General features: G+C 38.1%; 1 protein-coding gene across 15 annotated transcripts, besides 4 other annotated features; it reads right to left on the minus strand.

Moving 5' to 3' along the window:
- Positions 1-1,610: 1,610 nt before the first annotated feature.
- Positions 1,611-23,682, minus strand: SYPL1 (synaptophysin like 1). 15 transcript variants are annotated; one of them, NM_001381919.1, is made up of 7 exons: positions 23,585-23,682; positions 23,246-23,317; positions 10,264-10,388; positions 8,796-9,003; positions 4,055-4,243; positions 3,670-3,775; positions 1,611-3,045 (listed from the first exon to the last, which is right to left on the minus strand). In NM_001381919.1, the coding sequence occupies exons 1-6, from the start codon at positions 23,633-23,635 to the stop codon at positions 3,692-3,694; spliced, it is 729 nt and encodes a 242-aa protein (NP_001368848.1). In that variant the 5' UTR covers positions 23,636-23,682; the 3' UTR covers positions 1,611-3,045; positions 3,670-3,691. The 15 variants fall into 15 exon arrangements, 13 of the variants coding, with proteins under 13 accessions (NP_001368848.1, NP_001368847.1, NP_001368839.1 ...); NM_001381918.1 differs by having other exon boundaries at positions 3,654-3,775; NM_001381910.1 differs by lacking the exon at positions 3,670-3,775 and adding an exon at positions 22,419-22,496.
- Positions 22,648-23,480: an enhancer, noted in NCBI's record as "H3K27ac hESC enhancer chr7:105751988-105752820 (GRCh37/hg19 assembly coordinates)". NCBI's record gives its function as "activates a minimal SCP1, AML or CMV promoter by ChIP-STARR-seq in naive and primed H9 embryonic stem cells {active_cell/tissue: H9 hESC(naive and primed)}" and the evidence as "EXISTENCE:reporter gene assay evidence [ECO:0000049][PMID:30033119]".
- Positions 22,648-23,685: a biological region, named in NCBI's record as "H3K27ac hESC enhancer GRCh37_chr7:105751988-105752820".
- Positions 22,936-23,185: a silencer, noted in NCBI's record as "silent region_18527". NCBI's record gives its function as "represses an Ori minimal core promoter by ATAC-STARR-seq in GM12878 lymphoblastoid cells {active_cell/tissue: GM12878}" and the evidence as "EXISTENCE:reporter gene assay evidence [ECO:0000049][PMID:35858748]".
- Positions 23,196-23,685: a silencer, noted in NCBI's record as "silent region_18528". NCBI's record gives its function as "represses an Ori minimal core promoter by ATAC-STARR-seq in GM12878 lymphoblastoid cells {active_cell/tissue: GM12878}" and the evidence as "EXISTENCE:reporter gene assay evidence [ECO:0000049][PMID:35858748]".

Raw genomic sequence — 23,694 nt, forward strand, 5'->3', positions numbered from 1 at the left:
AATCCCAGCACTTGGGAGGCTGACGCAGGAGGACTGCTTGCGCCCATGAGTTTGAGACCAGCCTGGGTAATATAGTGAGAACTCGTCTTTACAAAAAATGTTTTCAATTACCAAGCATGGTGACACGTGCCTGTAGTCCCAGATACTGAGAAGGCCAAGGTGGGAGGATCACTGGAGCCTGGCAGGTGGAGGTTAACAGGGAGCTGAGATGGCGCCACTGCATTCTAGCTTGGGTGACAGAGTAAGACCCTGTCTCAACAAACAAACATCTGATGCAAATAAAGCATTTGTTAAATATTATTTTGTATACTTACCTATTAATCTGAAATACTATATGAAAAAATTTTAAATGTGAAACATAAGCAATATTGCCTTTAACATTTACAGTAGGTTAAACATCTATTCAACTGACCTCTGTTCACTAAAACATTAGTAATGCTCATCTTTTTTATAAATAATTCTCTACAACCTAACACCTAGTAAGTAAAGCTTTTATTGCTTCTCTCCTGGAAATTATCCTATAAATGGGTTAACCTTGTAATGTTGATTCAAAAGCACAAAGGGAAAAGGCAATAGAAGTCCTTTTAAGATCTACTTTAATCTCAATACTTTTAAGTTTTAAATTTTGATCTCATTAACCTTATGAATGTCAACCAACAGAAAAATAAAACACACCAAAAGATCCAGAACTCTTTAAGGATTGTAAAGGGACAAGCTTGAAAGCCTGACGCCAATCCTCTCTTTGTCCAAAACCACCACCCTAACGGCTCCAGCCCCATGAATTCCTAGTTTAAGAATCTCTATATCAGATGCTATCAAAAGTTAGTAATCGTAGCTAACATTTATAGAGTGCCTACTAAATGCGGAACACTGTTCTAAGGGCTTTACATTTGTTAATTCACTTTTAAATCATAAACACACTGAGATCAGGAAAGTGGTTTAACTATTCTTAGTTTCAGTTCCCCGTAGTACAGTACAGTAAGATATTCTGAGAGACCATATTCACATAACTTTTACTACAGTATGGTTTTAATTGTGCCACTTCATTATTAGTCCTTGTTAATCTCTTACTGTGCTCAATTGATAAACTTTATTATAGGTGCATGTATGGATAGGAAAAAAGACAGTTCACATAGGGCTTGGTACTACACTTGGTTTCAGGCATCCCAGGGGGTCTTGAAACATATCCCCAGTAAACAGGAGGGAACTACTTACTTTATTTCCGACTTCCACATAAGCAAACTGAGGCACACAGAGGGCAATTTGCCTACAGTTAAACAGCTAGTAAGTGGTGTAGACAAGATTCAAATCTAGGCAGTTCGGTTGCAGAGCACACACTCTTAAGCAGGAATCTTTGCTAGTTAATTAGACAATTAATGAGAAAAGGTATATCAGGAAAACAATCTAAGAGTTGCAAATAAGTATTTTCTAAATGAGGTCGGAAGAAAAAAGGATAGAACCATAGTCTCCAAAGCATTTCTGTCTGTTTTATTCCTTGCCAAACATTAAAACTGTGATTCTATTTCCTGCTTTGAAAATCAGTTCTGTTTTGCACTGCTCAATGCCTTTAAGATGAAGGTTTCTTTGTAATATTAACAATCAGTGCACTCTTTCTTTCAACTCCTTTATTAAATTGGTTGCAAAAAAGATATACATTCTTATATTGACAATTCTTGTCATGAATAAAAGCATCAAAAATAAGGCAACAGCAAGATGTGCTTCACATATAAACAATCATGTTGTAAGAATAAGAAACCTGAATCCCTGTACAACAAAAAGATTAGGAAGCAAAATGTGAATAAGCTTGTATTCAGAATATACCTATATGTGTGTGCAAAGACAATACACTCATCATATACCTCACTTAGGTTCCTTTATGATGCATAATTCCTTAATCATTCATTTGTGAAACAAGAATGAATATTAAGAAACATGAAATCCAAATTGCACTTATTTTCACAATATCAATGCTAAACTCAAAATAGCAACTTCATTGACTCTCAATGGTAAATTTCAAACATGGAAAGCAATCTTAATTTTTTTAACCCTTTGACTAGGGTCTGTAAAAAACGGTGGATTATTTTACTGTACTTACAAAGAGGCTGGGTCTCAGCCTGCACTTAAACAGCATGAGCAACAAAGGACAGGAAACAAATATCACTAAGAGTAATGCCCATACATATAAAGATATCTAGTTGAGCCACGTTCTACTTACATAGCAAGCCTATTAAACCACTAGCATAACAGATCATATCTCATGAAACAGAATTACTAAATTAACTACACATCTCTCAGAAATTTCCAAATCCCTGCTCCCAACACAATTTTAGTACACCTATTAAGTACCACGGGTCATTTAGAAAAACAGAAAAAAATATACACCTAGTCTTTGCAATTAAAAAAAAATCATAACATAAACAATGTTAGATATAAATTTTGAACTCAATATGTTTTTTCCTACATATTTATGTAATCAAGGCTCTTTAAGCAAAGACAGGTGGTAGGTATATGATCTGTACAAACTTACAGTAGTGTATATTCCAAATAAAGGTTTTTCTTCCTACTATGGTATGACAATATAACTGTTTTCTGAATGAAGATACATGTTAAGGCTTAAGGTGTAAACACTTTGGAAGGCAAACAGCTTAGTGAAAAAAATTATGGTTCATTTAAAAATGTGTATCATTTCATAATAGACCCCTGAACTTTCAAATTTACATGTGAGAATACATTTACATCTTAACTTTCTAGGAAAGGCACAGGCTTTATGTAAAAAAGCAGCAAAGTTTTAAACCCACCAATATATTGACAAAGCCATTACTTTTATTAGAAACAAATAATGCTTCTCAAGGTGTTGGCAACATGTCATAGTATCAACATATACTTCATACAGTGTATTTCTCCCTTTAATTATATTCCGGTAGGAGGTGGAATACCTCCTTGGCTATGAGGGGCAGATGTATTTGATGGACTGTGTAGGCTGGTCTCCTTGTACACAAACCAAGCATTTCCTCCCCAGAGTATCATATTTAGAAAGCCAAATATCTATGAAAGAGAAAAAGAAATATGAAAATCAAATACCTACTTATAAAAATTCATGCCCTACTTAAAAATCTCACTTTTTCTTTAAATATTTAACATTTTTAGGAAGTACGCCATTATTTCACTTAAAGTTTAATACTACACACAATGAGAAATAAGGAAGACTACACTTCAATGTACAAAATGTGGTTATATAATGACTTATTCCCAATGAAATAAGGCTAAATCTCTAACATATAAAATCATGGCTAAGAGATTTACTCTTCCAAATACTTTTCACTTTTCTCCTATTTAGAATGATTATCAACTGCTTGTGTAACTTTTCCCATTTACTTATCACCCCCTCCTACCATCTCTTCTACTCCAATCCAACAGTTGTAGCCACAAAAAAAGAGGAGTCACACAACTTTACTTCCCATCCCAATGAGTTAACCTCAAAGAAATTAATCTTCCTGGCTGGGTGTGGCAGCTCATGCCAGTAATCCCAGCACTTTGAGAGGCTGAAGCAGGCAGATCACTTGAGGTCGGGAGTTTGACCAGCCTGGCCAATATGGTGAAACCCTGTCTCTACTGAAGATACAAAAGAATTAGCTGGGAGTGGTGGCACATGCCTGTAATCCCAGCTACCTGGGAGGCTGAGGTAGGAGAATCACTTGAACCCAGGAGGCGGAGGTTGCAGTGTGCCGAGATCATGCCACTGCACTCCAGTCTGAGCGACATAGCGAAACTCCATCTCAAAAAAAAAAAAAAAAAAAGAAATTAATCTTCCCAGATATAAATCTGACTAGATGAAAGAAAGTCTCAGAGATGAATAAAATCATGATCTTGGTTACAGGTAATACTTTTTTTAGACAAACTTTTCTTCACTAAACACTATATTGTTACTAGAATTCAGGTAGCTGAGTAAAAATAAAAACCATCCAGAGATTTACTGAAAGCTATTGCTTTCCTGAATTACTAGTACTTTAAACAAATATATGAAAGAAAAAAATTATAAATAATGCATACATACCACAGATACATTTAGGGATCCCATACTGGTCACAGAGCCAAAGTAACACAGTACTGCTTTCTTCTTACAAGGCGGAAGTTCATCAATAATATTGTGACCAGTAGCTATTTTAATATCTGTCAGAGCTTTAGCCCAGGCTGAAGTGCTCACCAACCACAAAAAAGTGGCAACAAGTGTAACAACAAAGTCCTAAAGCAAAAATCAGTAAGAGTTAATAATGAACAGTTAATTTTAATACTAAATTTCAAATCCATGATGAAGAAACTGAGATTACATTCAACCTTATGGTGCTGAGAAATGGCCTTCATGATATACTTTATTAAAAAAGTCAGTCAGCATAGTAAACATTGCTGTTAGTGTTACAAGCACAGTGCCTGAGTTACAACAGTAAATAAGACTCAGTCATCCCCTCAGAAGTCTAAGATTTTCACACTAGAAACCAAAGTTTTATACAGCCTTCAACATAACCTCACCTCAGCCACTTACTCCCAGGACCATACCTTAGACCTTGTCATCACCAATAACTGTATCCTTCCATACTCTGTTTTGATCATCCCATTTTCCCATAACACCTCTTTCCAGCTCACTGTCTCTGGCACCCCAATCCTAAAACTCCTTTGACCCCACCAAGACCTACAATCTGATCCTACTGCTTTCTTACTGTATCACCACTTCACTAATGTCCTCACTTATTTTAATCAATTTCTGTTCTAAGGGCCTTCATTATCATCTCTTGCACATACTCTCAACTCACTTATCCTTCTTCTGCAAAACTCTAACTTTAGTTAAACCAAATTCTCCATGAGATGGATAATAAAATGGTGAAAAGCACACACCAGAATGGTATCTCTTTTAAATTTCCTAACCACAAATTTTAAGAATGCTCACTATATTAAGAAAAAGGCAACAACAAAAATCTCCCAAGACACCTTATCACTATTAACTCTGTACTAAATCCTTTGCTATTTATTACAAAGAATGGGATGGTTTTAATATTTTAGAATAAATGGTTCTAATGGGTGGTTTTAATATTTTAGATCATAAGTCTAATCTTGTTTGATCTTCCTTCAAATTAATGACCAGGGTAGGAATAATATAAAATTTGTATCTTTTGGATGCTATATATGCTAAACATATGCGTACACTCAAGGATAGGAGCTCTTACATATCTGCAGCAAAAATCTTTCTAACCTCAGAATGGATTTTGGAGCTTATCACAGAAGCATTTTGTTTTTTAAATAAACCCAATTAGTTTTTAATTATTTTGCCAGCCACCTTTTAGTCATTTATTAGGTTGGTGCAAAAGTTATTATGGTTTTTGCTATTTATTTTAATGATAAAAACCACAATTATTTTTGTACCAACCTAATATTTAGGATAAATACCAGTGATCTCTTAGGAGATATAGAAGCTATGCTATATAGCTTGCCCACTTGGTCAAGACAACACTGAATGAATACTTAGGATTAGAGAACCAAAAATAATTACTAATTACATGAACACGGAAGTACATGCATTTTGTATCTGAGCTCTCTGCTGCTACTTGTCCTTTTAAAAACCGTAGCTCAAAGAGAAAAGGCTAGAAATATAGCTTATATTTTCTGCACTGTGGAAGTACTCCCCCCTTTTTACTGCTGTACATCTGCTATACATTCTGCTGCAGGTAGACATTTTCTAAACGCTTGCTAGAAATACAGTGTTTTTTGGAAAACTGATGAGTAACATGAGGTTATATCGCATGTTAAATAATTTCTCTTTACGGAAAAGTTCACAACTTTGATCAATATATGTCAAATCCTCCTAATTTTCAGGTATTTTCTTCCTTCCAAAGTCTTTTTTTTTCGTAGTTATACTCTTAAATCCACTTTGATGGCTTGAGGCCATTCTTATATTTCAAAAGCAGGAACTTTTCTGAAAATGATGCACAAAGTAACCTAGGTTGAAGGAACGTGGGGGGAATTCTGGTCCCTTCAGATAGTATTTGCTCTACTCAGGACTCTAGTCACACTGCACTCTAAGCGAATGGTGCCACCTGGAGCTCTGCAATGCACAACCTGCAGCTGCCTAGGGCAGCTCTACTCCTCCCAACAATTCACAATATGAGTCATAGATTTTTAGAATTTGGGATACCCTAATTTTGTTTGGATTCATTTTCTGGTATTCTCAATTTTCCACATTGCCTTGAAACCTTAAACTCCTGCTACTTAACAAAAAAAAAAGTGCTATATTTACTTCAAAAGAGAATTGAAGTAGATTTAAATTTTCATAACTGAAATACTCCTAGAAACACCTTAGCACAGAATTGAGAATATTGCTAAAAGGGCTTGTCCTCATTAATAGTACCTAAAAATTAATGTCATATTTGGCTATATCTTAAATTTTGGGTATCTCAAAAAAAACCTTTTTTTTTTTTTCCCCTGAGATGGAGTCTTGCTCTGTCACCTAGGCTGGAATACAGTGGTGTGATCTTGGCTCACTGTAACCTCCACCTCCTGGGTTCAAGCGATTCTCCTGCCTCAGCCTCCCAGTAGCTGGGATTACAGGTGCCCACCACCATGTCCAGCTAATTTTTGTATTTTTAGCAGAGATGGGGTTTCACCATGTTGGCCAGGCTGGTCTCGAACTCCTGACCTCCTGGAGTGATCCACCCACCTCGGCCTCCCAAAGTGCTGGGATTACAGGCATGACCCACTGCACCCAGTCTCTCAAAGAAAATCTTTTAATATTTTTATGGTTACATTAAAAATAGAACTGAAAATTAAATTTAGAAGCTAGACTTTTATAGACAAGAAGCACCCATTATGTAACAATAAAAACCTACTTAAGGAATTTTGGATTATCTCTTTATATGACCACTAATTGGTCATTCTGAGGTGGAAAATTACTTTTTACGTTTCTGAATGATGCAACTAGGTCAGTTTTATAGTTTTATCAGACAAAAACCACCTACAAAAATAGATTGGAATGCTGCTTTAAGAAGGGTAGTATTTTTAAAAGTTTACTAGACAAAATATGAGAAATAAAGGGCACACTGATAGATTTAGTAAAAAAATTTGTTGGGATGACAAAATGGCAAGAAATAGCTTCTAGTTATAAAGAATTTTAACAAAATATAATTATCTATAAGATTATTCCAGTTCCCTTTTAAATAAGATTTGAAAAGTCTGCAGAAGACACAGATTCCTAACAAGTATGTTGGATAAGCACTGCAAATTAAAACAGTTGACGTCTTATCTTTTTAACAACCGAGAAGTATTTTATGAAAACCTCTAGTTTTCTTGTGTCTCCTATGACATAAGAAACAGAATTAAATATGAATGATAAAAGACTGTTGTATTACTTACCATTTCCATTCTTATGATCCAGCAGCAAAATTAAAAATAAATATGTAAATAAAACTTGTAATGTTATTTAATAATCCTTCATATTTAAATAGCCTTCCCTTTAAAGTAACTTCACAAATAATTAGCAGATGTGTTTTCTCATACATATGAATGACCAGTATCACACATAAAAAACACCTCTGTTTTCCCTTTAAGTCACTAATAACTGACTTTGTAGTTACTCTTTTATAGTGGAGGTGTAGCTTAAAACCATGATTTCTCTCTGGATTTGCCACCAATAATCCAGGGCAGATTCTACTAACTAAATCTCAGAGAATATTTCTAGCTCAGTAGGCTCTGAAGCCAAAAGTATAGGACTTCAAATCTAAGTCCTTTGTTGATACCTCAAAGATTCAAAATTAGTTCATGGTTGCCACTAATGCTGAGTATAAGAATTACCTGGGTCTGATTTTAAATTAAGGAGTTTAGGGACATAGACCAGGAATCAACAAACTTCTTTTGAAAAGGGCCAAATAGCAACTATTTTTTATCTCTGTTACAACTACTCAACTTTACCATTGCAGTGTGAAAGCAGCCATAGGCAATGTGTAAATGATTGTGTATGGCTGAGTTCCAAAAAAAACCTTTATTTAAAAAAACAAGGCCAGGCTCCTGGCCACACCTATAACCCCCAGCACTTTGGGAGGCCAAGGCAGGCAGATCACTTGAGCCCAGGAGTTTGAGACCAGCCTGGGCAACATGGTAAAACTTCGTCTTTACAAAAATACACAAAAAGTAACTGAGTATGGTGGCTTGTGACTGTAGTCCCAGCTACTCAGGAGGATCATTTGAGCCCAGGAGGTTGAGGCTGCAGCAAGCCAAGATGGTGCTACTGCCCTCCTGCCTGGGCGACAAAGCGAGACCTTGTCTCAAAAAGTAAATATATAAATAAAGAAGTAAAAATAAAAAATAAGACAGTGACCTCTGGGACATAGTTTGTGAACCCATGATATAATTAAACTCAATAAGTTTTGTAGAAGTATAAAGTGGGCCTTTAGAGAAAGAAAAAAAGTAAGAAGCAGAAAGAGTTATGAGACTATGTTGTGATAAGTAATTCTTCAAATTAAAAGAATTTCGACTTAATTTTTTTGCTATTTGTAACCTGATGTGCTTTATTACATATCTGAGTTTTTTCCAAGTTAAAATAGATTTAAAAAAGAAATAAACTTTCCTTATAGTGCAAATAGGCTAAAAAAAATTGAGTTAAACTTAATGGGAGAAAGCTCAACCTCGTGGCAAACACAGGCTAAAATATGCTGAACTGGCTTACACCAAGAATTTTTATTTCCAGTATAAGAAAATCTATATTTAGCTTATACAAATTATTTTTGTATTTAAAAAATAAAGTGATTACTTACTATCATAGGAAGTTTACGACTATCCAGATACAGACTCGTGTAGCCAACATAAAGCAGAAGGGCAGCAATGCAGTACAGGAACACAAAGACTGCAAAGGTAACATAGAATTGTGCAGAAGAAGAGTAATCGCCTATGAGGACGTAATCTTTCCAATTTACATCACATATGTTTACACCTGGAGGTGGCTGAAATGATGCCTCATTCAACCTATTAAAATAAATGTATGAATTATTGGACTTTCCCAACAGAGACAGAAACATTTAAGCAAAACAATGAGTGACACTTCAAAAAATACTCCCCAAATATATTAAAAACATTCCTTTGGGGAAAAAAGTAAAATTCAAATATTATATTTAAGTAAACTGAAATTTTCATAATAAATGTATATGTTATACCTGGTATTAGTTTATGATACATTGAATATAGACTGAATTAAATACTTTCATACCCAGATACTATCTTCCTGCAGTAAACAATTAGGTAGGAGAGATTATACCAAATGGTTTATACTTTGAGACATCATATTTCATTCTGTGTGGCAGAGTATGTGTGACTAGCCCCAAGAGAGCCAATCACAACAATGATTCACATTTTTAACCCTGGATCAATAGTTGCTAACAATAAATATTGCCTTTCATTTTTCCCAACCATAAATTGTAAAAAACTTGTCACTAAAGATGCTGTAACAGTCCCTTATGTGAGAAGTGTCTAGGAGAAAGGATACAAGATAGAGAGGCTTTGATGATTAACCACTTATTATCTGACTTATCTTTAATATGGGGATTTTATTTAATCATCAAAACAGCCTTACAAGATAATACTTCCAATTACTGGACCAAAAAATTGAGTCTTGGGTGAAGTAAGTAAAATTAGTAAGTGAAAGAAGATTCCCACCCTGGCTTAAACACAGGACATATTCAATAAACTTTTCAATGGATACTGATGTCAAACAAGACTTCACAGATGAAATACTCATTTTACTTTAAGAAAGTGTGGCTTTATGCTAATGAATGAAATATGGAATCTCTTTATATACATATGTCTTAAAACTATATAAAGACATTAATATTCAGCAATTACAAAAAACACTGAGAATCTGGATTTTTCTAAGTTATGTTTCCTTCTACATTAGGGCTTCTTATACTAAGGTGATAGAACAATCTCTAGTTTGCTTTATTTTTACATTTCCAATCCTCTGTTAGAATAAAATTATCAAGGCAACATCACATTGTTATAAAAGTTTCTAAATGCTTACTCTCACTTTCTGTACTATTTTGTCACAGATCAGGAGATGTTTTTAGACAGGCATGGGTCTGTGTACCACAGTTTGGGAGGTAATGATCACTTACAAATGAGCATACAGTCTAAAATTTTCTACCCCCCACAATCAATAAATTGCTGGAAATCTTAATGACTCACTGTGAAAGTAAAAAGAGTTGTGAAACCATTAAAATAAATATAACTCACCTGAATGGATAACCAAAAGTAGCTGTAACAGTTTTATTCTCAGTAACTGCAGGAGGACAATTCACTTGAATTTCTGTTTGGCCCTTAAAACCTCCACAGGTGGCAAAAGCAAAGATAGAAGCAATCTACACAAAGTAAGATGAAAAAAGACAAAAGAAAAAAAAGATAAGCAATACTACAACCAAAACAAGGGTCACTAAAACTGTAAGCACACTGATTATTAAAAATTGGCTAACATTCTAGAAATTCTTTTTTTGAGACAGGGTTTCTGTCGCCCAGACTGGAGTACACTGGCACGATCAGGGCTCACTGCAGCCTTGGCCTCCCAGGCTCAAGTGATCCTCCCACCTCAGTCCCCCAAGCAGCTGGATCACAGGTGTGCATCACCACACCTGGCTAATTTTTCTTTGAATTTTAGTAGAGATGAGGCCTCGCTATGTTGCTCAGATTGGGCTTGAACTCCTGAACTCAAGCAATCCTCCCATCTTGGCCTCCCAAAATGCTGGGATTACAGGTGTGAGTCACTGTGCCCAGCCCCCACTACCCTTTTTTAAAGAGATGAGTCTCACTCTGTTGTATAGACTCAAGTGTAGTGGCACAATCATAGCTTACTGCAGCCCTGAACTCTCAAGTGATCCTCCCAAGTAGCTGGGACTAAGGAGTGTGCCACCATGCCTGGCTACATTCTAGAAATTCTTAAACACAAACTAAGATGGTGAAAGACATTAAAACATTCATTTGCAAACCTCGACAAATGTGATTTTATTTTCCCCGGAGTATAATATAGAAATAAATGTACCAGCCCATATGACAATTCATTTGCTCATACTTTAGTGTATCCACTAAGTATTAGTATGAAATATAGAGGGAGACTCATTTATTAGTATAAAATCAAAAGGGGTGAATTGGAGGTATTTTTATTTGGAACACAAGTTACCAGTAATTTGTAAAGCCAAGAGGTTGTCAGCAGAGAAGAGACACTATTTCATGAGCCTGTTAAACCTCCCTTGTGGGTATTTCCAGGTCTCAAAAAGTTGTTGGAAACTTATTTTCCTAATCATGTATATGCTTAAAAAAATGAATGGTGTTCTCTCAAATACCATCTAAAACACAAAAAACCTAGAAGCAACCTAAATGTTGACAGGGAATCAAACTATAATTCATCCATTCATTCATTCATGCAATGAAACATTATATAGCTGTTGGAAATTAACAACATAGAATGTTGGAGATTAACAACATAGAAAGTGTTCATTACATACAAAGTAGATTTAAACAACAAAAACTAGAAAGGTTATGCATCAAAATTTTAACACTGGTCACCTCTCAAAGGAAGATAAATAATTCCTTTTTATTTTTGTACTTGTGAATTTTCTACAAAACAACACAAGTAAGCAAAAAATTCCAGATGCGCTGTTAAAGTCCAGGAGCTCAATCTTTCAGCAAGTGGTGATGGCTCTATTTTCAAAATACATTTGCAATCTGACCACTTGTACTGCCTCCTGATCTGAACTACCATCACCTTTTGCCTGAATTTTGCACTAACAGCCTTCTAAATGATCTCTCTGCTTCTGCCCTTGCCCCAGCTTCAGTCTGTTATCAACACAACAGCCAAGACAATCTTTTAAAAATGTAAGGCAGAAAATGTTATCCTTTGCTCAAAACCCTCCAATGGCTTTTGAGCTCTCTATGAATAAAAACCAAAGTTCATATAAAGGCCTGCAAGATCCTTTCTTCCCTTATATTTCTGACCTCATGTTGCTACTTTTTCCTTTACCTAATCTGTATACACAAACTGCTTTCCATGCGATACCTTTAATGACACGGGATAAACTCTTCCTTCAGGACCTTTGCACTGGCTATTTCCTCTGCCTGGAATACATGCTTCACTCCCTCACTTCCATAGCTTCCTGTTCCAGTATGACCTTCTCAGAGAGACCTTCCCCTCACCACACTATATCAAATAACAGCACTCCTACCCCGCACTACCTATTCCCTCTACTCTATTTCTGCTCTGTTCTAATTACCACTGCTTGACACAGTACTTAATTTGTCTGTCTTTCCCTAGAATAGAAACTTGAAGAGGTCAGGGGCTTCGTTTTGTTCAAGGTCACACACACTCAGCAACTGGTAGTAGATAATATTCAATGCAGATTTGATATCAAATATTCACTGTGGAACACTTGACATAATGCTTCCCATGGATTATTCCAGGGCCTTGAATCTTGTAGGCCATAATCCACATTATAGTAATTGTCAAGGGTTTGTTTTTTCCCATCCGCCCCCCCCCCCCCCCCCCCCCCCCCCCCCACAAAAAAGATACATGAAAAGAATCTGGTTACAGATAGGAAGAGTCTGAGGTAATGTCCAGCACATAGTTTGGGGTCTTAACTGTTAAGAGGTGATCCCCAGTTTTTACAGGATTTCAAAATATGTAAAAGTAACTTTCCTTGGAAAATGTGTCATGAAATCATTTTTCATTATTTGTACTAAATAATGTTTTATGTTAAAAAAGAAGGTAAAGATGGAAGAATCAATACTCTCTCAGAATAAATATGCATGAATACACAGAGTGAAAAGGCCAGAAAATGAGTCCTGAGCATATACCCACGTTTAAATTAAAAAAAAAAAAAAAGAAAAGAAATGAGATACACAAATTGAACCAATGGAGCAGAATAAAAAGGCCAGGAATAGACTAGTGTGTATAAGACAAATTGTATCTAACAGAGTTGATTTGTAGATCACGGAGGAAAGGAATGTGGTGGTTTTAAAGATATGCCCACAAACTCTTTGATACAACTCCCATCAAGAGATGGAGCCTGATTTCCCTTCCCTTGAGTGTCAACTAAATGTAGTGACTTGCTTCTACAGAATAGAATATGGTACTGTAGAAGAAATGGGATGTCTTTTCTGAGACTCAGTTATAAAAAGATTACAACTTTTTTTTTTTTTTGAGACACAGTCTCGCTCTGTCACCCAGGCTGGAGTGCAATGGTGCAATCTTGGCTCACTGCAACCTCCACCTCCCAGATTCAAGGAATTCTCCTTCCTCAGCCTCCTGAGTAGCAGGGGTAATTACAGGTGCCTGCCACCATGCCCGGCTAATTTTTGTATTTTCGGTAGAGACGGGGTTTCACCATGTTGGTAAGGCCAGTCTCGAGCTCCTGACCTCCGGTGATCCACCCGCCTTGGCCTCCCAAAGTGCTGGGATTACAGGCTTGAACCACAACGCCCGGCCAAAGATTGCAACTTCTGTCTTCCTTTCTCACTCTCTCGAACTTTCTCATTCTCCGGGGGAAGCCAGTGGCCATGTTGGGAGGATACTCAGGCAACTTTTATAAACTCACATGGTGTGGAATTGAGGACTGCCAGTAACCACATGACTGAGCTTGGAAGGGGATCCTCTGAGGTTTGTCAACAGTCATGAGAATAAGCTGGAGGCCTTGAGATAACAGCAACCCCAGCCAACAGCTTGACTGCAACCTTATGGGAGACCCTATGCCCAAACCACATAGCTAAGCTGCTCCCAGATTCCTGACCCACAGAAGAATGGGTGAGGTTTATTATCTCACTTAATAAAAGTCAACAGACCTTTGTTTTAAACTGCTAAGCTCGGCGTAATTTGTTATACAGCAATAGATAACTAATACAAGGAAGAGCTGTTCAGTAAATGGTCCAGATGAGCTGCACACAAAAGTAAAAAGTCTTTAAAAAATGTGAAGACAATATAAAAGAAAACCTGTGACCACATGAAAAGGGAGAATTTAAGATTTTTTTTTGTAAAAAAGAACCATAAAAGATTGTTAAATTCAACTACAGAAAAAAAATCTTAATCAAGTCAGCTGTTGAATGTAAAACAAGCTACCAATTAGATGAACATATTTATAATAAACATAATGTCACAAAGGATTTACTAGTATATAGATCTAAGAGAAACCCTTGCTCACACGTACTAAGAGACATATAAGAATGTTCATGAAAAATGGGGAGGGGAAAAGCAACAGGGAAATGGATAAAATACCATAGTATATTCTTACACTGGGAAGTTATACGGCAAAAAAGATATAAGAATTACAACTGCCTACATCAACATAGATGAATCATAGAAATCCAATGCTGAGTTAAAACAAAAACAAAATAAAAACCATGTTGCATATGACTACCTAGACTATAAAACCATTTTTTAAAAAGCTCTGTTTACCTGCCTACATTACACCTGCCACTATTTTTGTTCAGGCCCTCACCATTTTTCATTGGGACTAACCCAGCAGACTCTTTCTCACATTTCCAATTTCATTCCAATTGATACTCATCTTCTATAATGTGGGCACTATAGCTGCAGTACCCAGTAATGCTACTTGTGAGTCTTGAACACTTTACATGTCACTAATCTAAATTGATATATACTCCAACTGCAAAATACACACTAGATTTTGAAGATTTACTATGAAAAAGATGTGAAATACTTCATTAATTTTTATATTGACGACTTGTTCAAACAATAATCTGGATAGATTGGGTTAAGTAAAATATATTGTTAAAATTAATTTCACCTGTTTCCTCTTATTTTAGTGTGGTTAATAGAACACTGAAAATTACTATGTGGTTTGCATTTTTGCTTCCCATTGTATTTTTTTGTACTGGACAGAGCTAGTTTAGAATGATGCCAAACTGATCTGAAATAAAAATCTGATCATGTCCTTCCCATTTAAAGGAATTTCCTCAATTGTTTTTCAACCTAAATTAAACAAAAAATGCTCCAACTTCTTAATTTGGCATAAAAGGCATGGCTGATCGATCCTCAACTTTATCTTTCTAGATAGATTTATCTGCAGTCTATTCACTGCCAGGTACTGTATGATTCTGTCACATTATACTGCTTACTGTTCCTGAAACATACCATGTATTTATGTCTTAAATGTATATGCTTCTTCTTCTGGGAATGCCCTGTCTCTGATTAGCTCATCTTTTAAGGCCCTACCCAATTCCCTGTGGTAGAACTCATGATTCTTCTCTTGAGCTATCATAGACATTAACTCTATTATATATGAACTCTACTATAGGCATTTTTCTTGTGTAACTTGCTTTCTAAAAAATAAAATGGGGCCGGGTGCAGTGGCTTATGCCTGTAATTCCAACACTTTGGGAGGCCGTGGCAGGAGGATTGTTTGAGCCCAGAAGTTCAATACCAGCTTGGGCAACACAGTGAGACCCTGTCTTAAAAATAAAATAAAATAAAAAAATTAAATGGAAAAATGAATTTCCTAATATAACAAGTAGCAAATAAATGGCATACTGCACTACAGCTTGTTGCTTTCAAGACTATCACTTCTACTGCTCCTTTGCCAGACTGTCATGTCTTTGCACCTGGTTTTGTTTAGGATTTTCAGTGACTAGCAGAAAACCTGGCACATAGCAGATGCTCACTAAATAACTACTTAATTAAGGAAAAAATAATTTCCAATAACTTATAAATAAAACCATATTTTGAATCTTACATAATTATTATTTTAAAGCTTTTTGTTATAAGGATAGATAAATATCATGACAGCAATTCTGGTCTTTATCTTATAGAAAGAAGGGACAAAAGCACATATTTTATATTAAACAAAGTACAAAATTATGAGGGCAAAATATCCAACTATCTCACTTCTCCCTATATTCTACTGCTATTTTGATCTAGACTGGAAGTTATATACTGGCAGCCTGTTGGTAAAACCCGGCCTGCAAATATATTTGTGTGGCCTTTCCAGTATTACAAAAAAATGTGAATTTGTTGTCATTGTTTTAATATCAGGGTATTACACATAAAAATTTGGATTTCCTGCTTTTCCTGAGTGTGTATGGGAAAGCTGAAGAATGGCAACATCAGACCTACATTCTCATAAAGCAACAATCAGAGAGAACTGAGTGACAGATGTCACTTATGGCAGAGTATGTGCTTTCCAGGTTATCCGCTTCTCCATTGTCTTAACAGCCCTCAGGATGTGTGTTAGTTGCCAGTAAGTAATCAATGACATACTATTCTTTTTCTTCCAAACATCTTGCTTCACTCATTTACTTTAGAGGGTGGTTCCTATGACCATTTCAGTTTCCAACCCTAGTCTAAAATGAAGGAGTACTGGTGTTCTGATTTATATTTTCTGGCCACTTTTGAAACTTATTTTCCCATATACTCCTACCCCATGAAGAATGACTGAAACTACTGACATGGAATTCTATCTGCACAGTGACTAGTAAGAATCCAGGGGCGGGGTGACAGCAAGCTTCTGTTTAGTCAGAAAAGTTACATGTTCACATACAGCCCCAAGTATCCAGAGAAACAGTCCCACTTACTTCTCTGCCCACCAGACCCATACTAGATGACCACCATGGCAGATCTTATTCAGAGAATTGTAACCTCAGGGTGAATAGTACAGCCTGGTTTTCCAGAGCACTAGTCTCCAAAGTAGACTGGAGTACCAGAAGAAAATATGTAAACTTCTATTTAGATCTACTTTCAGACTTAAATAAGGAATTGAAGCTTTATTGCAATTAATATACCACTGAAACCCATGCTGGGCATGCACATCAGAAGGTCACATGTCAGTACAGCATGCTGGGTATCCTGAAGGTAAGGGGAATCTCATACATGGAAGGACAGACAGTGATAACCTCATCTATTCTTTCACTTTTAGTGTTCATGCATTACAATGTGAGTGGGCCTGGATTTATGGAATAATTTGTCTAGTTTTAACCAAATCAACCTTCACAAAATTGACCCATGGCTTTAAAATGTCTTCAAAGAAATAGATTGGTAACACACACACTCATGTATAAAAGAGAAAATGGAAGCATTCATACTACTCTATGATTACAATCAACAGCCATATTACAAGGTAAAAACAGACTACTTAATCAGATCACAAGACGGTGGCACAACAATAAAAAATTATCAGAATAGTATCTGAAGCAAGGATTTAAAAATATAAACAAAATTTGCACTGAGTATATAATATACCTTAAGATACTAACTGACATAGTAAAACATGCATCTTAAGTTGTAGATGCATATTGTGGCTCTGTCCATAAAATTTTGCACTAATAGGAGTGCAAAAAAGACTCTGGAGGCTGGGCACAGTGGCTCATGCCTGTAATCCCAGCACTTTGGGAGGCTGAGCCGGGTGGATCACCTGAGGTCAGGTGTTCGAAACCAGCCTGGCCAACATGGTGAAACCCCATCTCTACTAAAAATATCAAAAAAAATTAGCTGGGTGTGGTGGTGGGCACCTGTAATCCCAGCTACTTGGGAGGCTGAGGCAGGAGAATTGCTTGAACCTGGGAGGCGGAAGTTGCAGTGAGCCGAGATCATGCCACTGCACTCCAGCCTGGGCGACAGAGTAAGACTCTGTCTCAAAAAAAAAAAAGACTCTGGAGGCTGGGTGCAGTGGTTCATCTCAGCATTTTGGGAGGCCAAGGCAGGTGATCGTTTGAGCCCAGGGGTTCGAGACTGGCCTGGGTGACATGGTGGGACTCTGTCTCTATAAAAAATTATAGAAGTAGCTGGGGGTGGTGGTGTGTACCTGCAGTCCCAGCTACCCAGTAGACTGAAGTGAGAGAAAAGCTTGAGCCTGGGGAAGTCAAGGCTGCAATTAGTTGTGATCGTGCCACTGCACTCCAGCCTGGGTGACAAGAGTGAGACCCTGTCTCAAAAAATAAATAAATAAAATTTAAAAAGAGTTTGGAGCCTTAACTTCTATTGCTAGACCATGCTAATTCTGAGGATTCTACTGGAGAATACTAGTATTCACCTGGTTTATGAGTGTTGTTTACACGTTTCTAGTTGCAGGATCTTCATTGCTATTTAATTTCATCATTAATCTGAAATCATCTATTTAAATTTCTTTCTGTCCAAGGTTTAGTTTATCAAAGTGATAACTGAAATCTTCAAAAATAGATATAAAAGTATATTATGTATGAGTGTTTACATGCAAAAGAAATGTATGCTGGTTTTAAGTCAAATGATCATTCAGCACTTAAAATGAAATATTATAGCACGTTTGCCTTTACAATCAAAAGATTAGATGCCTAGAGCCAAGGTATGATTTTTATGAGTCAAAGTCCAAAATGTTTACTAAAGTTATTCATTTCAAAAAAGTATTGTTTTTGATGGTGGTATTTCAGTTTATTCCCACTGGGAAATAAAGTCAGTTACAAAGTGCTTCAGTTTCACTCTATCTCCCTTTGCTTCTAATGTACAATAGTAGAAAATTCTAAATAGCCTGCCAAGATAATTCCATAATCCTTAAAAATTTGGATTATGGCCGGCTGCAGTGGCTCACGCCTGTAATCCCAGCACTTTGGGAGGCCAGGGCGGACGGACTACCTGAGGTCAGGAGTTTGAGACCAGCCTGGTGAAACCAGGTGAAACCCCGTCTCTACTAAAAATACAAAAATTAGCCGGGCAAGGTGGCACACGCCTGTAGTCCCAGCTACTTGGGAGGGTGAGGCAGGAGAATCACTTGAACCTGGGAGATGGAGGTTGCAGTGAGCTGAGATCATGCCACTGCACTCCAGCCTGGGTGACAGAGCAAGACTCCGTCTCCAAAAAAAAAAAAAAAAAAAATTGGATTATGAGAAGTAAACTCTAGAGTTCCTACTGAAATAAACAGCTAGAAGTTTTTTGCTAACTCCTAATCATTGTATGTTGAAAACACATTTATGTCACCTTAAATCTCTGAGGAACCTAAATATATTTATTTAAAAATCATTTATCAGCCAGGCGCGGTGGCTCATGCCTATAATCCCAGCACTTGGGGAGGCCGAGGCGGGTGGATCACTTGAGGTCAGGAGTTAGAGTCCAGGCTGGCCAGCATGGTGAAACCCCGTCTCTACTAAAAATACAAAACTTAGCTGGATGTAGTGGCGAGCGCCTGTAATCCCAGCTACTCGGGAGACTAAGGCAGAAGAATCTCTGGAACCTGGAAGGCGAGGTTGCATTGAGCCGAGACCACACTACTGCACTCCAGCCTGGACAAGACAGAGACTATATTTTTAAAAATTTAAAATATAATTTATATTTTTAAAAATAGAAATCATTTTCTAATTGCTCTACTATTTTCATGTCTTCTGGAGTGAATCAATATCCTGATTGTTGATCTGGCTGGCTGTCTTGAAGTAAGCCTGTCACTCTGTGGAAAACTGACAGCATTTGTTGCCACTGACATAATTTGAATTTTTAAGTAAAAATTAGTTTTCTTCATGTGTTTTAGGATATTTGATATAGGCTCAACTTGATTGTCCCCTCCTGCTTCTATCCCTGTCTAGCGGCTTTATGGTCATGGTCATTTCTGCTTGGCCTTCTGAGTCCCCTGGTCCACAAACACACCTTATGATGGGACCCCCAAACCACCAACATAAGTGAACATACACGTTATCACAAATCCAGACCTTAAGCCTGCAAGTAGATTGGTCCAGGTCTTGAGAGGCTATATATATCTCTTTATTTCTACACTTTTAAGTACTCAGCTCTATTTAAGTCGTAAATCCAGATAGTTGGTTGAGCTTTCTTCAGATTTATTAATAATTACCAAATTTGGGAATAGTCTTTCTCCCTGCCGTATTTTCTGTTCTGTTTCTGGTCCCCAGTGGTGTTTACCTCATCAATTCTCAATGCGTGGTCTGTGGACCCCTGAAAGCTCCCAAGGCTCTTTCAGGAGTTCATGAAGGTAAAACATTTTCCTAACGATACTAAGACATTATTTGCCTTTTACACTGTGCTGACATTTGTACTGATGAAGCAGATAAACTGGTGGGGAAAACTGCCGGGTTTAATAAGAATCAGGAAGAATACCAAACTCTATTTCACTGCCACATACTTGCAGTTAAAAACAAAAAACCAAAAACAAAAAAGAACAAAAAACCCCCACCAGTTTTACTTAAGAATGTCTGATGAAGCAGTAAAAATTTTATTAAACCTTGACCCTTGAGTTCTCTTGTCAGTAGGATAAAATGGGAAATGCAAATAAAGACTTTTGTTGCATACCAAATACAATGGTTGTCTCCAGAGAATGCATTTAAGCAACTGAGTTGTAAGCTGAACTAGTGGCTTTTTTTTGTAACCACCAAATTTCTCCCATCTTCACAGTCAAACAGCGGTTTATGCTGTCTTCACTTTCTTACCACACATTCATTCAGCCTACTAAAATCTGGCTTTTTGATTTTACTGAAACTGCTCTTGCTAACTAGTCCTTATTTTATCAACTAGTCCTTATTTTACTTTACCATTCTATTGCACCTTACGTTTTGGGGTACTCTTTTCTTGAAATTCTAATAGTGATGCCAAGGCATTATTTCCCTCAATTTTCCTAACCATTCCTTCTCTCCTTTGCAGGCAGATATCTGCTATATCTGCAGCCCAAACTCATATTTTAAATTCTAGATCCATATATATAGCTGTATCCTATAGGATACCTCCAAAAGATCTAAAGAGACCACAAACTCAATACATCTGAAACCTTTGACTTCCCATAAAATCTGCTCCTCCTCCTCTTAATGACATTACCTTGAATATGCTAATGGCAACGAAGTCAGAAAGACAGCAGTCATCTTAGGGTCCTCCCTCTTTGTTACCTTCCATATATATTCTAATTTGTAACCCCCTTTTGTAAACCCCTTCAGTCCTACTGAAACTAATTTTAGGCCCTCATAATTCCTCAATCAACAGATTTCCCTTCCTCCAATTCTAGCCTTTCCAATTCATCCTTTTAGAAATTTTCATTTTGTCGGCAGTTAGAGGGATGGATTGGAAAGGTCAGAATTGGAGGGAGAAATCGATTGATTGAGGAATTATGAGTGCCTAAAATTAGTCGTATCATTGACTTGTTTAAAGCCTTTAAGTTCCCATCCCCTATGGCAGGGATTCTGGGCTTGAATGGAATAAACACTCCAATATTCCATACCCTGCACATATGCATTTTCCTAAGGAAAGGGCCCAGATTCCCAAAGATTAACCCCAGAAGCAGCCGACCTCTGAAATCTTTTCAGAACAATCTCAAACCGTACCCTCCAACCTAGCATATATTCCAACTAACCCCCAATTACTTTTAAGTTCTCATACAGGGTTATGCTGCTTCAACATTTCCTTCCACTGAACATAAGATTCCTTCTGCCTAGAAAGCCACTCCCCAAGTGAACCAGTACCCATCCTTCAAGTGTTCTCTCAGCTATGAAGTCCTCCCTAGTTCCTCCAAGCAAATGCTCTCTCCCTCATTTCTTCTACTATTCTTTGCATACACCTTTATCACAGTTTATTACATGGCATTTTTGTATTTTGTATGTCCTTCATCCTTAATAGATCATGAGAAAAAGACCATGTTTTATTCATGTGGTATGCTAGTGTTTAGTACAGATCTGGTATAAAATAGTCAAATATTTACCACACCATTAACAATGTGTAGTCTTTTCATAAAAGGCTCTCCTGTGTAATAACAAGCTGTTCAAACTGAAAGTATTTCTGTAAGATGCTTAAAAAGGGATATTTTTCAAAATACATCAAAACACGAATGAACTTATCACTAGTGCTTGAAATATTAAGGAAAAAGCTAAGTCTACAGTTGTTTAAAAACTTGACAAAAAATATAAGCACAGATATAAACAACTGCCTCTTCATTTAAGTGGAAATCTAAATTATTAGTTATACATTTAATTATAATCCTCAATGAGACTAAATCTAGATATAAGACTTTCTTAACGTTCATATTTGATTAGCCTCGTTAATGAGATTTTCCTCTTGCAATTTTTAAATGCTTTAATCATGGTTTTCTTTATACTTAAATCTGGACTTAGGTTTAAAAAAATCAAGTATATTTATTTATGCGTCTTTCAAGTAGTCATTTGTGTGAAGTCAGCACTACTTCAGTTTTCAGAAAACACACAAAATGTTCAGTGAATGGTGAAATTGCCTAACCCCTTGCGCGGTTACAATGGTCCAAGTAGGAAATCACATTAGGTACCCATCAGAGAAACTGAGTTTCTACGCTGCTTTTAAAAACATCCTCGGTAGGTTATTTAGAACAGGAAATTGAAAGTTCTTATTCTTCTTCACCACTCTATCACTAAGGAAAAGGGCGAAAAAGCTATGGATGTAAATGCTGCTGTCTATAAACACAACTTGCCTGCAGAAATATGTAGTGGGCCGCGAAGTTTGAAGGAAGCCCGCAGTGCCTGGTATATTCACCAACTCCTCCAAGTAACTGATCATTGCCAAGGTCGAATTAATAAGCGTTCTTTGATGTTAATGATTGTGAGTGTTCTCAGGAAAGGACTAAAAGCTGACTTTCTAAACAGGATGTTGTTTGGAAATACCCCAAACAAACTCGATGTCCATTCCTAACGTGTTATTAAGTGAACCGATCTGACTCGATGCGTTTTGTTAAAAGGACTTTCTTTAGTTTCCCTGGCCCACAGTTTATTTTTTTACTATTTTTAACTCGGAGCCCATCTTAAAAACAAATTAAGAACGGAATGCTCGCCAAATCACGTCTACAAGACAAAATCGGCTTCCCAGGGAGCTAGACCTCGAGTGGGCACCGGCAGGGACGTAACCGCTGAGCCTCTCCGCAGAGCGCGACGCCGGCCGCCGGGTTTCGGTTAGACCGCAGCAGGAAGTTTTCCCTTCCTCTGCGGGAGGCAGTGGAGCCAAGGGGAAATTTGAACTCCCACTCCACGGGGACACCCAGAGGGGAGCTCCGGTGTGGGAGGGTGGCTCCCCTGGGAGCCAGGCGGCCGAGGAGCTCGTGATTCGACGCCCGCCGCGGCGTCTCCGCCCCGCGCGGCCCAGGCCGCGGCCTCCCTGCCCTCCCTGCCGTCCACTCCCAGTCCCGGGGCGGCGGCCTCAAAGCCCGCGCGGCAGGGCTGCGTCCCGGCTCGCAGGTCCCCGTCTCCCCGCCTAGGGCGCCGCGCCGAGCGGCAGGCGGGCCTGGCCGGCGCGGGCTGCACTCACCCACTCGAGGACCTTGATGAAGCCGAGTGGCTCCTTGAGCGGGTTGAGGTTGATCTGGAAGCCGGACATCCTCTGAGGAAAGGAGGGAGAGAGAGTCAGGACGACGGGGCGGAGGAGGGGACCGACGAGACCAGAGCAGCCCGGTGGCGAGGAAGGGCAGGCGGGGCTGGCGCGCTGGCCGGGCTCGGAGGCGGGCCCGGGCGGCCGTGGGGCGGGGCGGGGCGGAGCGGCGGCGGTTGAGCTGCTGGCTGAGACTCTGGGGCGGAAACGGAGTGGGGCGGCTGGGGAGGCGAGGGGCGGGCCGGGGCGGAGACCGGGAGGCTTCTCCTCAGGCCGCACCTGGCCGAGTCGACTGATCCGCTGGCGAACCAAGTAGATGTTGGGCGCCATACTGCGTGCGCCGCGCCCCCTTCCCTGCGGTTCAGCCCCTGGCACTCGGTCTTCCCCTG

Source organism: Homo sapiens, chromosome 7 (genome assembly GCF_000001405.40).
Source record: "Homo sapiens chromosome 7, GRCh38.p14 Primary Assembly".
Lineage (NCBI taxonomy): Eukaryota > Metazoa > Chordata > Mammalia > Primates > Hominidae > Homo > Homo sapiens.